The sequence below is a fragment of the Homo sapiens genome, chromosome 1, assembly GCF_000001405.40.
Source record: "Homo sapiens chromosome 1, GRCh38.p14 Primary Assembly".
Classification (NCBI taxonomy): domain Eukaryota; kingdom Metazoa; phylum Chordata; class Mammalia; order Primates; family Hominidae; genus Homo; species Homo sapiens.
This window is the reverse complement of record NC_000001.11, coordinates 237,263,964-237,280,766: the sequence shown is the minus strand read 5'-3', so window position 1 is coordinate 237,280,766 and position 16,803 is coordinate 237,263,964. Positions and strand designations below refer to the sequence as shown.

The 16,803-nt window shown below is 36.7% G+C and overlaps 1 protein-coding gene across 18 annotated transcripts in view; it reads right to left on the bottom strand.

The window, feature by feature from the left end:
- RYR2 (ryanodine receptor 2) overlaps nt 1–16,803 on the bottom strand; it is a 791,805-nt gene that overhangs the window by 553,222 nt on the left and 221,780 nt on the right. For all 18 annotated transcript variants that reach the window (XR_007062490.1, XR_002957299.2, XM_006711802.4 and 15 more), the window contains exon 2: nt 10,151–10,270. Coding sequence is in view for 16 of the 18 variants with exons in the window: in XM_006711802.4 (XP_006711865.1) it covers nt 10,151–10,270 (120 nt within the window). In the remaining 2 variants the exon portion in view is untranslated. The remainder of the gene's footprint in view (nt 1–10,150; nt 10,271–16,803) is intronic.

Genomic DNA, 16,803 nt, shown 5'->3' with positions numbered 1-16,803 from the left:
ATTTCCACATAACTTATGAATCACAATTTAACAAGCAGTTCCATTCAGGTCCAATTCAACAATCTGCCAAGAAAACTGTTAAATATTTTCTTTCAACTCTTCTGTTCTATCGGAACTCTGTTCAAGTATCTAATCACTTATTCTACATTGACAAGATAGTCACAAAATATTAGGATATTTCCTTTCTGCCACACTTACCATCTACTTTATTTTTCTCTAAAAATATTGGGAAATAAATATTATATAACTGAAACATAAGAATATTGAAAAATATAGTTATTGATAATTTATATTCTTTACAAAACAGTGGTCTTTCTTTTGCCTCTCATTTGCACAAACAAAATTCTGTGAAAGTCAAAATGAATAAAGTAGAGAGAAGAAACAGCAATAATGTTAATATTTATTTCCTTATAATTGTTTTATTATTTCAATTAATTTTTAGAGAAATCGTCAAGAAACAAGTATCTGCTGTTTAAGATGGTTCATAAACTATATATGAAGTGAATCTTTCTTACATCATCTAGCATTTATCTTATACCGACATTTTTATTATTCAAAAATTCTCACTTGAATAAGAAGATCAGTTCATCTGGAATATCACAACTATTATGCATCATTAATATCTTAATGCATTATTTATGCTGGTGAATAATGAGAAGTCACCGAATATAAAGTATTGCTCTATCATGTTCCATTATGAGAAGAAATACTTTTAATTAAAGTGACGCCATAGAAATTGGAAGAAACAGAAAGAGCTCTTGATATTGTTACATCTACAAGGCCCAGCTTCCTTTTTGGAAACCTGATAAAAATCAACAATACTGTTTCATACATACTGTGAATGTGTATCAGTCTCAGAAATACAGAATAATTGAAATATTGGATGCAACAGATCTCAAAGATCCTCTTACTGCCTCTATCCAGAGTCCACGATGATGAATACCAGAAAACTATGCTTGAAGCAGTGAGATAATTAAATAAGAATGGCTTTTACTGTTTTTTAATGAATGTCCCTTTTGTAGGGGCAGCACTGCATGACTATTGATTCAATTGTCACATCTGCATAAAACAATGGTCCTCATCTGTATAAAACTGTGCTCCTATGAAATCCTGGTGTTGCATGAGGTTCAACCTTGTGTAACGATGCTAAAATCTTTCCCAGTTTTGCAAAACTTTTTGCTCAATTAAAAATTTCTATAATAATCATTCTCAAACACTTAAAAACTATCACTGCTTAATAATCCAGTAGAATTTGAGATTTAATTAATTGATTTAATGATTTATTGATTGAGACAGAGTCTCACTCTGTTGCCTAGGCTGGAGTACAGTGGTGCAATCATCAGAATTTAATTTAGTATAAAATTAGATATTAATTATTTTTTAAGTACTTATTGTCATGAGTTTTAGATCATCTGAACAAGGTGAGACTCAGCAGTATAGAGAGTCTTATAAAATGATTTGTGTTAACCATTGCTTATTATTATAAACTGCACCCTGTCATGAACATGAAAAGCCAAATAAATTAGTCCCCAGTGAAACTGTCAAGCCAAATACTATAGCAATCCTTCAGAAAAGTGTAAAGGCAGTTTTATTTAGCCCGCTTTTCTTATGATCATTGTTTAAACATCCTCAGTCCTTGAAGAGGAAACTCAAACTAGTCTGATCCATTTCAGTGGATTAAAGTTATTCTGCTCTATGAAAAAAACATATAGCATTTATTTAAAATCTGCTCGTATATTAAATATACTGACTGTAACCACTGAACACCAATTATGAATTGTTTCTTGATCTAATTCAACTTAAAACCCTAGAATAACCCAAATATTATCAAAGGAACATTAGTTTAACTGGCAGTTATTCCACTTAATCAAATATTTTACTGATTATAAAGTGATTATAAATGAAAAGGAGAAACGAAGAGCAATTCCCTAATAAGTCCTGACAGTGGCTATTATTACAGAGCTGCTATATCCAGGAGTAGGATTTTCCACTATAATCGCTGGTAAGCAGCAAAGCAAACCTGCTCAGACCATGTTCAGTGCTTAAGTCTATACTATCCACACGAGAATCAAATTCATACAGACTGTGGGTGTTTCCTTTTAAAAAGGTCTGCCCATGAGTAAAACTGGGTTGCAAAAATTTAACACCAGCTCTCAGGAGTACAAATTATATTCACTTATCTCCTACTCAGAAATCATTTTATTCTATCCTACTATCTCCCAGAGTTAATCAGATTTTAAAAAGCATTAATTAAAACAGTATAAATAAGGTAATATATTTTCTATTTCCTGGGACTGAGCACATATTCTTTTCTATATGATAGATGAATATATTCCTATAACCCTCTTATCCAATTTGAGCTTTAAAAAAATTCCCAGGCAGGTACGGTGGCTGACAGCTGTAATCTCAGCACTTTGGGAGGCTGAGGAAGGAAGATCGCTTGAGCCCAGGACTTTGAGACCAGCCTGGGCAACACAGTGAAACCCTATCTCTACAAAAAAAAAAAAAAAAAAAAAAAAAATACAAAAATTAGCTGGGCATAGTAGTGTGTGCCTGTAGTCGTAGATACCTGGAAGGCTGAGGTGGGAAGACTGCTTGAGCCCAGGAGGCAGATACTACAGTGAGCCAAGATCATGCAACTTCACTCTAGCCTGGGCAAAACAGCCAGATCCTGACTCAAAAAAACAAAACAACAATAACAAAAAAATCCACAAAGAAAAACAGAAACAGCACTTCAAATCTATGATCCTCAAAAATTTACTGATGTAACACACATATAGGAAATTAATTTATTAGCACATGTATACATGATAAAAACATAATAAATACATTAGTAATATTATCAAAAATAGCAAATAAACATAGTGTTAAGGCTTAATGACTTTATATTTGTGAACAGTTGGCCTAAGGCTATTATTTTTTGTTTGTTTATTTAGTTACTTATTTTGAGACAGGGTCTCACTCTGTCACCTAGGCTGCAATGCAGTGGTACGATCTCGGCTCACTGCAGCCTCAAACTGTTAGGCTCAAGCAATCCTCCTGCCTCAGCCTCCTGAGTAGCTGGGACCACAGGCACATGCCACCAGACCCAGCTAATTTTTAAATTTTTGTAGAGACAGGGTCTGGTCTTTAGAGACCAAACCTCGCCTAATTTTTTAGTTTTGTAGAGACACAGGGTCTCGCTATGTTGCCAGGTTATGTGGCCATTGATTTTATAACCTGCTACATTATGGATTTCTCTCATCAATCCACTCCTATAGCAGCTTTTCCACTGATTAATTTTTGGGAATTTTAGGTATATAATCAAATCATCTACATCTAGAAATAGTTTTACCTCTCCATGTCTGATCTTCAGTGTCTAATCACATTGGCTCATACCTCCAACACAGGCATGTATTGCAGAGGGCATGCTGGACATCCTTAACTTACACCTGACTTTAACTGCTAGTGTACTACCTTAAAGAAAGTGCTGATTTTGAACTGAAGCGTGTGTGTGCACATGCGCTTATAAAATAATGTTAAGGAGGTATTTTATTATTTTTTAAACATAAATAGAATTTAAATTTTGTTCAGTGCCTTTTCCCTATGAGTAAGTTCAAAGGATTTTTCTCCTTATCTTTCCTAATATGAAGAATTATATTAATTGATTTATCGTATTGAGCTATTCTTGGATTCCTGGAATAACCTTCACTGGTCATGATAAAGATTTTAATGCAACATTGGTTTATTTAAAATATTTTATCTCAGAAAATTTCTGTATCAATAAAACTGAAATCGATCTATAAATTACCTTTGCAAAAAATTTTTTCTTAATTTTGAAATTTAAATTACATTTACTTGACAAAATAAATTTGAAACTTTTCCTTCTTTTATTATGCTTTGGAATAATTTAAGGAACATAGTTAAGTAGGGAGTATCCGACCTTGGCGCGTGTCTTGTCAGGGAATACTTCTACCACACTATTTATTTTATGATAATTGGTCTGTTTGAACTTAATGTGGTAAATTTTTATTTTCTTGAAATTATTCATTTCATGAAGATTTTAAAGTTCACTTGTATGTAGTTAGACAAATGGTCCCTTATGACTTAATTTCCTTTTGTGATCATTATCCCCTTCCAACTCATATGTAACTTCTAATAATCAAATATTTGTACTCCCTTTATCCTTGATTAGGCTAATTCATGGTTTGTCTATGTTGATGATTTTTTTCAAAGGACCAATTTTCAGAATTAACTCAGCAATTTCTTTCTTATCTTTATTAATACCATTTTGTTGCTTTATTTTGCTTTGTTGTTCTTCTCCCAGTTTTCATCTGGTTGTTTAATTCATTGATTTAAATTTTCATTTTTAATAATATATGCACTGAGGCCAGGCGTGGTGGCTCACGCTTGTAATCTCAGCACTTTGGGAGGCCAAAGCAGGCAGACCACCTGAGGTCAGGCGTTCTAGACCAGCCTGGCCAACATGGCAAAACCCCGTCTCTACTAAAAATACAAAAATTAGCCAGGCATGGTGGTGGGTGCCTGTAATCTCAGCAACTCGGGAGGCTGAGAAAGGAGAATTGCTTGAATGCAGGAGGTGGACGTTTCAGTTAGCCGAGTTCGTGCTACCACGCTCCAACCTGGGCAACAGAGCGAGACTCCATCTCAAAAAAAAATAAAATAAAATACGAATATATGCATTTAATGCTATAGATTTTATTCTGATAACTTCTTTAGCTATATCCCATGCATTCTAAAACATCACATGTTCATTATCATGATGTTCAAGAAACTCTTCAATTTTATTTTGCCTTTGACCCAAGATTTAATTAATAGTGTACATTTTAATTTTCAGATAGAAAAGTCTTTTGTGTGGTTTTTATTTTTTAGGGGGCTGATTTTGTTTTTGCTTTTTAAAAAATTAACTTCTAGTTTCTTTATAGTTATATTTGTATTATTCCTATTCTTTGGAACTTACTGAAGTTTTCTTTGTGGCCTAAAATATTGTCAATATTCTTTAATATGGTATGTGAACTTTAAAGAAAGGTATATTCTATTTTTGAGGTTCAGATTTTGACATATCTCTATAAGGTCAACCTTATTGATTATGCTAAGCATTGTACTTATTTTTTTCAAGTTGAAGTGTGTTACGTCTCTTATTATTGGTATGTTTCTACGTTTCTCTTTGCAACTTCTGAGGTTTCTACTTTGTAAAAGTTGTATCTGTTATTGGGGCCATGAAACTACTTTGTCTTCATTGAGAAATGTACCCTTTGGCATGATAAAAAAAAAATCCTTCTTTGTCTCAAAGTTTTTTAGTCTAAATTATGCCTTGTCAAATAATGAGATAAAGACATCTGCTTTCTTTTTGTTTGCATTTCTTGGTATATCCTTGTCTATCCTTTTATTTTTCCCTTTCTGAATGCCTTTGTTTTTGTATACATAGTGTTAGATTTGGCTTTGTAGTCATGCTTATAATTTTAAGTTCTTATTTTAATAGGTAAGTCAAACTCACTTATAATTGTTTATATAATCAATACACTTTGGCCTCAATTCTCCTAGATTGTTAAAATGCATATTTTAATTAAAAAATACTATAAATATATAATTTCATTTTTATTTAAAATGAAAATTTTCCTTTTATTTAAAACATTTTATGTGTGCGGTGTGTATGTGTGTGTGTGTGTGTGTGCGTGTATGTGTGTGTGTGCATCACCCATGGATGATATATATATACAGACATGCATCACTTAATGATGGGGACACATGCTAGAAATGTGTCATCAGGTGATCTTATCATTATGTGTACATCATGGAGTGTATGTAATACAAACCTAAATGGTACAGCCTCCTATACACCTAGGTATGTACGGTATAGCCTATTACTCCTAGGCTACAAACCTGTACAACACATGACTATACTGAATACTGGAGGCAACTGTAACACAGTGGTATCTGTTTATATAAACATATCTCAAAATAGAAAAAGTACAGTAAAAATGTGATATAAAAGGTAAAAAACGGTACACCTATATAGGACACCTTACAATAAATGGAGCTTGCACGACCGGAAGTTACTCTGGTGAGTCAGTGAGTGAGTGGTGGGTGAATGTGAAGGCCTAGGACACTACCCTACTGCAAACTTTATAAACGCTGTACACTTAGGCTGCACTAAATTTATTTTTAAAATTTTCTTTGTTCAATGATAAATTAACCTTAGCTTATTGTAACTTTTTACTTTATAAACTTTAATTTTGTTAGCTTTTTTATTTTTGTAATAACACTTAGCTTAAAATACAAACACAGCTGTATGAAAATATTTTCTTTATATCTTTGTTCTAGACACCTCTTTCCTATTTTTTAATTTTTTTTTACTTTTTAAACTTTTTTGTTAAAAACTAAGACTCAAATTCACATCATTGTAGGCCTACACAAGATTGAAATCATCCAGACATCACTAGGCAATAGGAATTTTTCAGCTCCATTATGATCTTATGGGACCACTGTCATATATGTGGTATGTGGCATACAGCTGTGTCATATGTATATACGTGATACATATATACACATATACATAGGATATACATATCATATATAATATGTACATTAAATATGCATTTTTATATTTAAATAGAAATATATAGTTATCATATGTAATACCTACATATCATATATATCTACATTATCATATATCTACATTAAATATATATAATATAAAGGTATATTTATAATATATTATAAATATTATATATAATATAAAATATATATGTATTTCTTAATAAACATGAATGTACATTAATTTATAATATAAATATATTTAATATATGCGTTATATAATATAAATATATAATATATATTTTATAATACTTGTATGTTTTGTTATGTTTATTATATCATTTATAATATACATATGTTCATAAAATATACAATATATAAATATATTTTTATATATCTCTTTTGTTTAGGAAGTTTGGGCTTCCCTAACACTCATATTTTTAAATAATATTCTTAAGACCTTCTCTTTTTGATTACTATTTCTTAGTTCTATGACCAATATTGCAAATAGCTAATATATTATTTATCTCTGGTGAAAGTTATATTTACTTTTAGACTACATCTATAAAGCAATCAGGAAGTTGAATTTTTATAAACTATACCCACTCTCCCATTTTTGGTAGTCATACTTACTTAACCTTGTCAGAGGACAGAGCCATTCCATAAGACACTCTCCCCTAAAACCATCATTCCATCTCAGTTCCTTGGGGAAATGTGTCTTGAATGCTCACCACCATTCCTCGTGCCACAGTCTGTACTGCAATTTGGTTTTCTTGGGGCAGGGGTCCCCAACCCCTGGGCCATGGATCAGTGCCAGTCAGTGGCCCCTTAGGAACCAGGCCACAGAGCCGGAAGTGAGCAGCAGGCAAGCTTCATCTGTATGTACAGCTGCTCCCCCTCACTGGCCACCTGAGCTCTGCGTCCTGTGAGATCATCAGCAGCATTAGATTCTCACAGGAGTGCAAACCCTATTGTGAACTGCACATGCAAGGGATCTAGGTTGCACACCCTCTTATGAGAATCTAATGCCTGACGATCTGTCACTGTCACCCCCAGATATAGCCATCTAGTAGCAGGAAAACAAGCTCAGGGCTCCCACTGATTGTACATTATGGTGAGTTCTAGAATTTATTATATATTACAATGTAATAATAATAGAAATAAAGTGCACAATAAATGTAATGTGCTTGAATCATCCCCAAAACACCCTCCAGCCCCGGTTCATGGGAAAATCGTCTTCCATAAAATCATTTCCTTTGGATTTTCAAAGGTTTTCACTTTTCCATCTTCTATATCTCTACAGATGTTAAGCTGTGGGTTTACGTGCTCTGGTGTCCCTTCTCATGCAGTCTCCAGGTCTAAAATTAGTTTTTCTTTAATTTGGAATTCTGGCCTGTTATTCAGCTCCCTTTTCCAAATCTCTGTTCTCTACTCATCTTGTTTCTGAGTTAAGAATGTATGTTGCTCTTTCATAGTGTCTCTTATTTTTTTAATTTCTTTTAGTTCATTTTTAAATAGTTATGTTTATTTAACTAGTTGACCTTTATTACCTTTAGATATTATTCTGCTTCTTATTCTCTTTTTATATATAAAACAATATATACACATATAAATTATATATTAAGCATAATTATAATTATATAAATTAGATTACTCCACTAATATATATAAATTATACATAATTATATATATTATAAAATTATAATGTCTACAGGCAACACAAGCACATCAAATGTCCAGACAAAAATTGAAATGCTTTTTCTTATACTCTTAGGGAGAAGAGAGAGTGTAGCCTTTTTTTCAGCTTTACAGCTCTAGAGCTCCTTGTTCTGTGGTTCTCCCCACTACTTGAAACATGGCCTCTTATGAAATCTATGGGTTCTGCTTCCCCCCTCTATTTTTTTTTTGGTTCGATCCTTCTCTATCCTTTGCCTCTATCGCCCCTGCAATTTCTCCTCAGAGGAGGACTTTGACCTGTAAGGGAGTTTTACATAGTTAGCTATAAAAGTCCATAGGGCCAAGGTTACTCCAGAAACGTCTCACCTCACTATGCCATGGTTCCTTTGCTTCCTCTTAGTTCTCTTTCTTTTTCTTTTCTTTTTGACAGAATCTTGCTCTGTCACCCAGGCTGGAGTGCAGTGGTGCGATCTTGGCTCACTGCAATCTTCGCTTCCTGGGTTTAAGGGATTCTTGTGCCTCAGCCTCCCAAGTAGCTGGGATTACAGGTGTGCATTACCACACCCAGCTAATTTTTGTATTTTTAATAGAGACAGGGTTTCACTATGTTGGCCAGACCGGTCTTGAACTCCTGACCTCAAGTGATCCGCCTGCCTTGGATCCCAAAGTGCTGGGACTACAGGCATGAGACACCGTGCCTGGAGTGGTTACTGTTTTCACATTGGCCCACCAGGCTTTCCAGCAAGGATTTGTCACTGACTTTCAGAGACAATAGAAATCATGTCACCTCTCTTGCACTTCCTCCTATACATTTACTGACACCATACGTAGGAATAACTTGCCACTTAGTTTGTCTTAGATACTGTATTGTCTGTGGCTGTGAGTTTTACCCTCTTCATAGCTCTTTCTGGTTGCATGTGGAGATTCAAAGAGATGAAAAACTATGCCTTTTTGATAAGGCTTCATTTCTCCCTGAATTTTTAATAATAACAAGGTAGGTCTGTCTCAAAGTGAATAGTTCCTAAAAGCAAAACCTCAACTTCTAATTTCTGAAATATAGAGACACAGATGAAAATTCATTCATATACAGAACATACAGTAAATATCCACAATTAGGAATCAGGAATAATTAATCAAAACATATCAACAGAATTAAGTGTTTATATTTCTGCAAGAAAATCTATGCTGATATTATGAACCATTCTCTTTTAGGCAAAGATCAGCCTAAAAGAATAAATATCCTCGGAGCGATTGTCTCAAAAAGTTAGTTCTGCCTTTGATTTTAAAATTCTGTAGCTTAAGATATTGCTGGGCTCATTTCAAAGAGTATATCTATAATTTACAGTATCTGACTACTTACTACCAACAATCTTTCTGTCCTTTGCCCTTTATGATCAATGCAAGAGATAACACTTTGAGGAAAAAAAAAAGCCATATCCCATTTTCTACCAATGAAAGTCAAATCCAGATATATCTATGTGAACTGCATCTAGACCCAGGTTTACGTATTTTAAACATGAACTGGGATTTAGAGTTTTGACTTTTCGTTAATATGGAAAATTGAAAGTCTATCTTATAAAAAAATACAATGAGCCTAAGACTATTGGTTCCTTTACAAACTTAATAATCCATTAAATCTTCCTAGCCCTTATCAGTTTTCAAATTATATCACTGATTTACTTGTTTGCTTTTCTACTAGAATATAAACCTCATGGGGCAAGGACTTTCTGTGTTCTTGCTAATAATCTTATCCCTAGTTCTTTGTACCCAGGAGAGACTCAATTAAAAATCAGCAAAATGGAGATGGAAAACATTGTTATATCCCTTTCATTTATATAGTATGTATTCCACAGAAAATAGTAGAGAGCTCATAAATAACTTCAATGCCACTAGTAAAACTTGCATATTTGAATAGCCTTGAAAGACTTCATCCCACCTTGGAATTGGAAGTGGACTCCAAGAAACAAAGTCTGTTGCCAAATCCTTCTGCTGCCAAGCATAGCTTCTGTTGTTCTTTGTGGATGGTTGCGGTGCACTGCAGAACCACTTCATCATCCTGCAAAGGGGGAGAAAGAGAGGGAAAAATAAGTGAGACGTGACATGACTGCACAGTCCAAATCATATCTTGAAGAACATTATTTTAGTGCATTTTAAAAATCTGTGCCGAATGTAAAAACTACTGTCAAAAAAACAACCAAAAGAAACCCCTACGGAATCAATCCCTCACGTACTTTTTATTTGCAAAAAGGCAACTGAGTAGGGGAAAAGAGGGGAGCTACGGCCATTCAAGGCAATCAGTAGTTTTCTGACTGTACTGACTGATCCCCAGAGGCAACCTGAACAAATAAAAGTAAAATACAGGATTTTCATATTATCGTCACTATTTTAGTCATCAAAATTAACAAGAAATTGTCTGACACATTTCTAGGACACCAAGTATCATCAAGAACGGAACAGATTCTAATAGCAGGCACACATGTCATTTCAAAACTCACACAGGAAAACAGGTCAATAACAGAACTTTCTCACTTCAAAGTGATGGTAAAAGTCATCTTAGTTCAACCAAGCATTAGTTGCTTGATCATATCAGAAAGGATCCTGGGTTGCTTAAAAATGTATGGAGAGACAATTTATTTCAGTCCTCTGAAAGCCAAAACAGGTTTCCAATCAATTCATTAAGCAAGGTTACTGAAGAAACTGTACATGGGGAAAGACGAAAATTAGAATGACTCAATACAGGCAGTGGGAGTGCTGCAGGAATCACGGACTTTAGGACAAGCAAGATCTGGATTCCCATCCCAGCTCACCATGTACTAGGTTATATGATCTGAGGCAAAGTACTGAATTTCTAAAATGACGAAGTAAATCCGATAAAGCACCTTACATAATGACTAGCATACAAAAGGCACCAAATGCACAGTAAGAAAATGGAAAACACAGGTTCTACGTGGCAAGGGCCTAAAAAGTCTGACCATTTACGTGTTTTGACATCTCAACCTCAAGGAAACAAAAGAAAACATAACAGAGTAGTAAAAGAGCAATATAATCATCAACCATTCTAATTAGAGAGAAAAAGGACACACAAGTATATTCTAGAAGCCCTTCACCAAGGTAGTATGGCAGGGCAGAGGTGATGGGAATAAAGACTCAAAAGCAGACGGCAAGTTGTTTTTTTTTTTATTTTTAGCTAACCTAAAGAATATGCTATATGGCCGGGCGCGGTGGCTCACACCTATAATCCCAGCACTTTGGGAGGCCGAGGCAGGCGGCTCACCTGAGGTTGGGAGTTCGAGACCAGCCTGACCAACATGCAGAAACCCTGTCTCTACCAAAAATACAAAAATTAGCTGGGCGTGGTGGCACATGCCTGTAATCCCAGCTACTCAGGAGGCTGAGGCAGGAGAATTGCTTTAACCTGGGAGGCGGAGGTTGCAGTGAGCTGAGATCGTGCCATTGCGCTCCAGCCTGGGCAACAAGAGCGAAACTCTGTCTCACAAAAAAAAAAAAAAAGAATATGCTATATAAATTGGAAAGGTGCCACTCTAATTTGTATTTAAAATCCTGGTAATGCTTTTATTTGCCTTTATTTCCTTTTTTTTTTTTTTTTTTTTTTTTTTGAGACAAGAGTCTTCCTCTGTCACCAGGCTGGAGTGCAGTGGCATGATCTTGGCTCACTGTAACCTCTGCCTCCTGGGTTCAAGCCATTCTCCTGGCTCAGCCTCCCGAGTAGCTGGGATTACAGGCACCCACCACCACACCCAGCTAATTTTTGTATTTTTAATAGAGATGGGGTTTCACCATGTTGGTCAGGATGGTCTCAATCTCCTGACCTCGTGATCCGCCCGCCTCGGCCTCCCAAAGTGCTGGGATTACAGGTGTGAGCCACCGCACCCGGCTGTATTTGCCTTTATTTCCTATATGGTAGCACCAATATTTAATAGCGTAGCTTATAGCACCAGCCACAGGCAAAGCCCAATATTTTTAACAACCACCTCCTAACTGACCCTCCAGGTGCTCACTGATTTCCAGTGAACATTCATTTGTTTGCTTTAAAAAATAATCTGCTAAAAAAATAGCATTATTCCCATAGGATGGGTATATCTGAATATAAATTCATGTGCAGTGTGGCTATAATAAAAACAATCATGAAGTACTTTGGAGCTTATATAATCTGCAAGATCAAAGCTATATTGTGGTGTAATAAAAAAAGAACCAAAAATTGTGCTGGTGTGTTCAATGCCTTATCAAATCCCCAGAGGCTTTTACTATTTTGTCTCACCTACCCTATGGAACTAACTCTAACATGCAAACTACACTCTTGGGTAAGTAACTACACTCTTACTCTTTTGGATGCTAGAGGCTATCTAAATACAATTTAATACATTATTAATAACTAACTAAAGACAGTTTGGGAATGAGAATAAGAGAAGACAGCAAGATGAGGTAAAAACAAAACCACAGATATATGGGACAAGTGGGAGTAACAGAGCTTACTCAGTAAGCCCCGGAAGAAGAGAAGGCACACCGTCTTTACCAAAAGTACAGTGAATGCCCATCCTGGCATTAACTTATTTAATCCTCACTCTACCCCTGTGGTATAAAGAGGACCCACACATATCTAGATGAGGAAAATGAGACATAAAGTAACTTGTTACTCACAGAGGGCTTATCAGACATATTTCCAGAAATTGATCACTAAACCTAATTCATCTGAATTAGATTCAGATAATTCAGTCTGTAATCCCATCCCACACTGCTTCTAGAGACTCAATTGATTTTACCATGTATGTTAAAGTGCTTCTCTATCTGTAAGGTGCATCCTATCGCCCATGGATCCTGCTAAGGTGCAGATTCTGATTGGGAAAGTCTTGAGTGGGGCTGATTGTGCATTTCTAAGAAGCTCTCAATATGAGCCACACTTGAGAGCTTGTTAGATGAGGATCTAGGGCCCAGAAAGGGACCCAGAAAATATATGGATCCTAAGAAATATACGAGTTTCTTTTCTTCTCTTCTCTTCTCTTTTTTCTTTTCTTGAGGCAGAGTCTCAGTCTGCTACCCAGGCTGGAGTGCAGTTGCACGATCCCAGCTCACTGCCACCTCCACCTCCTGGGTTCAAGTGATTCTCCTGCTTCAGCTTCTCAAGTAGCTGGGACTATAGGCAAGCGCTACCATGCCCTGCTCATTTTTTGTATTCTTAGTAGAGACAGGGTCTCACTATGTTGCCCAGGCTAGTCTCGAACTCCTGAGCTCAGGCAATCCACCCACCTCGGCCTCCCAAAGCGCCAGGATTACAGGCGTGGGCCACTGCGCCCAGCCAGATATGAGTATCTTTTTGATATATGATATAGGAAACCTATAGGAGTTTGAAGACAATCTTTAACAGTCAAATATTAAAATAAGCCTGTGCACTTTGGACAAATCAGAAATTAGAGCTCGTGTGGAGATGCCCATCAGTATGTGAGATGTACCAATCATCTAAGGGAAAGGAATGGATTTAAATACTATATTAAGCTATCCTATCCAATGTATGAGACCAACTCACTTACGCAAAGTTTCACTTCAATCCAGTCCCTTAACATTGTATGATGGAGTGCATGGTAATGAAGCAACATTAAGTTCAGGAGAGCTCCACTATACCACCAAGGAGAGAGGCTATAGCTACAGCTTTCAATCATGGTTCAGTTCAGGAGAGCTCTGCTATACTACCAAGGAGAGAGGCTATAGCTACAGCTTTCAATCATGGTTCAGTTCAGGAGAGCTCTGCTATACCACCAAGGAGAGAGGCTATAGCTACAGCTTTCAATCGTGGTTCAACTTTGAATGATACAACCTAATCTGACATACTCATCAAAGCTTTTGCCAGTTTGCCCAGGAGCTGCTTCTATTTTACTTTCCAGTAATCAAAAGGTTCCTTTTGGACAGAAAGTAAAATATACTGAACATTTAATGAACCAAACACCAATTCACAAGCCACCTTCCAGTTGCCTTTAATTAACCCCATCATTCATCTCAGAGCACACTTCCTCTCCAGAATCACTGTGGTCTGACAGCATGCAGAGTAGGCATTTGAGAGGTTTTGATAAATAGCTTAATGTTTTCTATTTATGATTATCCATATGTAATACATCTGGTAGGTAACATATATATGAAATGCACATGAGGATATTGTGTACATGCACACATGCTCACACATACATGTACACACACACACACACACACACAATCTAGTTTCTATTCCAAGAATAAAGACCAACACTGCCAAATACTGATGGGATCCAGAGGGTTAACCTACCTGACAGGACAATAAAGATATTAATTAAAGTATGTCTTCCTGGGTCATAAGGCCTCTTCCGAATTAGTCTTTGCTATTCAGCCGCTGAGGTGCAGACTTGTAATTCATATGTCTTGCTTTTGCATTTTGGTTGCCTGTGCCAATAGTGTTTCTGAGTGCTGAAATGCACATGATGACCATCATTTTTTTCACCTTGGCCCAGAAGCACTGAAAGCACCCTTAAATACTCACCCTTTACTAAACAAACATGAAGAAACAAATTTATTGATCTTTCTTTATACAAATTCTGGATGAAATAATAAATAATCAACCACTTAAAAGAAACCTCAAGAGCAATCAGATAAATGGAAGGACTTAACAAAAGGGTGACATCCACCTTGGAGTTACCAAGTCCTGTGGATTCTACTCCATCAACACTTTTCCAATCCATCAATTTCTCACCACCTTAGTCCAAGCTACAATTATCTCTCATTTTGACATCTTCAAAATCCACTGAATGGTTCTCCACACTGCACACTCCCTTCCAAGGAGCTTTAGCTTGAGGCCACACCATCAATCTGTACTATACGGCATGCTGGCTTAAAACCCTTCAATGGTTTCCAATTGCTCTAAAGATAAAAGCCAAAAAATCCTTGAGCAGGCCAGGCGCGGTAGCTCACACCTGTAATCCCAGCACTTTGGGAGGCCCAGGCGGGTGGATCACTTGAGGTCAGGAGATCGAGACCAGCCTGGCCAACATGGTGAAACCCCATCTCTACTAAAAATACAAAAATTAGCCGGGTGTGGTAGTGTGCACATGTAGTCCCAGCTACTTGGGAGGCTGAGGCAGGAGAATCTCTTGAACCCGGGAGGCAGAGGTTGCAGTGATCCGAGATTGTGCTACTGTGCTCCAGCTTGGGCAACTGAGCAAGATCCCGCTCAAAAAACAAACAAACAATCAAAAAAATCCTTCAGCCTACAAGGCTCTGCACTGCATGGTCTGGCACCAGCCCAATATCTCCAACCAACCTTCCTTCATGCCTTTTCTCCTACAGGACTTTCGCATGCACTATTAAACCCCTTTCTCTCTTCTCTAGTTAATACTTACCCATCTTTCAAATCTCAACCCAGGCATCCTTTCAAGGCTGTGTTGAGATTGGACCCACCAGGCTATTAATTCTTTTGTTTTGTGCTCCCATAACATTGTATTTTCTCTTTTAGTTTCTTCAATTGTTATCATGCATTCATTTGTGTAATTATTAATGTCTGATTATTAAACTGAGTCTGGGCCAGGCACAATGGCTCACATCCCAGCACTTTGGGAGGCCGAGGCAGGTGGATCACCTGAGGTCAGGAGTTTGAGACCAGCCTGGCCAACATGGTGAAACCCCATCTCTACTAAAAAAAAAAATACAAAAATTAACCAGGCATGGTGGTGGGTACCTGTAATCCCAGCTACTTGGGACGCTGAGGCAGGAGAATTGCTTGAACCCGGGAGATGGAGGTTGCAGTGAGCCGAGATCACGCCACTACACTCCATCCTGGGTGACAAGAGCAAGACTCCGTCTCAAAAAAAAAAAAATAATAATAATAATAAAAAATAAACTGAGTCTGTTTTTACCTAGAATTATAGCCCCAGTATCTAGCATAATGTCAGGTATATAAAAGGGCCTCAATCAATAGTAGTTGAATGAATGGATAAGAACAAACAATGCCCAAAATTTGTAATAAGTTAATACCACTAAATCAGCACTACCCTTTCATTGAATTGCCCACTTTGGACATTGCAGTTCAAAAACAAAGCTCAACATGAGATCTTTCTCAATAGTGAAGAAATGTTGCCTTCCCCAAATCATCATACTGAGGATTGGCCAAATAAGGAACTGTAGCTACAATGCAGATATATACAAGCCTTAGTTAGCAAAGAAAGTAGATAAGGCATTCAGGGATGCCTAGGGACCTCACACTTGGCCAGACTGTACACCGGCTAATCCCAGAACAAGAGAAAGAAAATAGAAAACCTTCAAAGAATCAGGAGATGTAGAAAGCAGGAGACAGAGAAAGCCCAAAGCTTAGGGATAGCAGGGGTGGCGACAGTGGAAGAGGGGGATATAATGGGGACATGTTGAGGGGTGAATTATGGGAAAGCCTATGTGTATGCACCTGTGTGTGTGTGTGTGTGTGTGTGTGCATGTGCATGTGTGTTTGTACATTTAGTAATTCTGAGCAAAGTTAGCTTGACTGCTGCTCACAAACCTGTGAGGTCACACACACAGAAAACCACTTCCACGGTCGCCCTATCTAAAATAGCAGCCCCT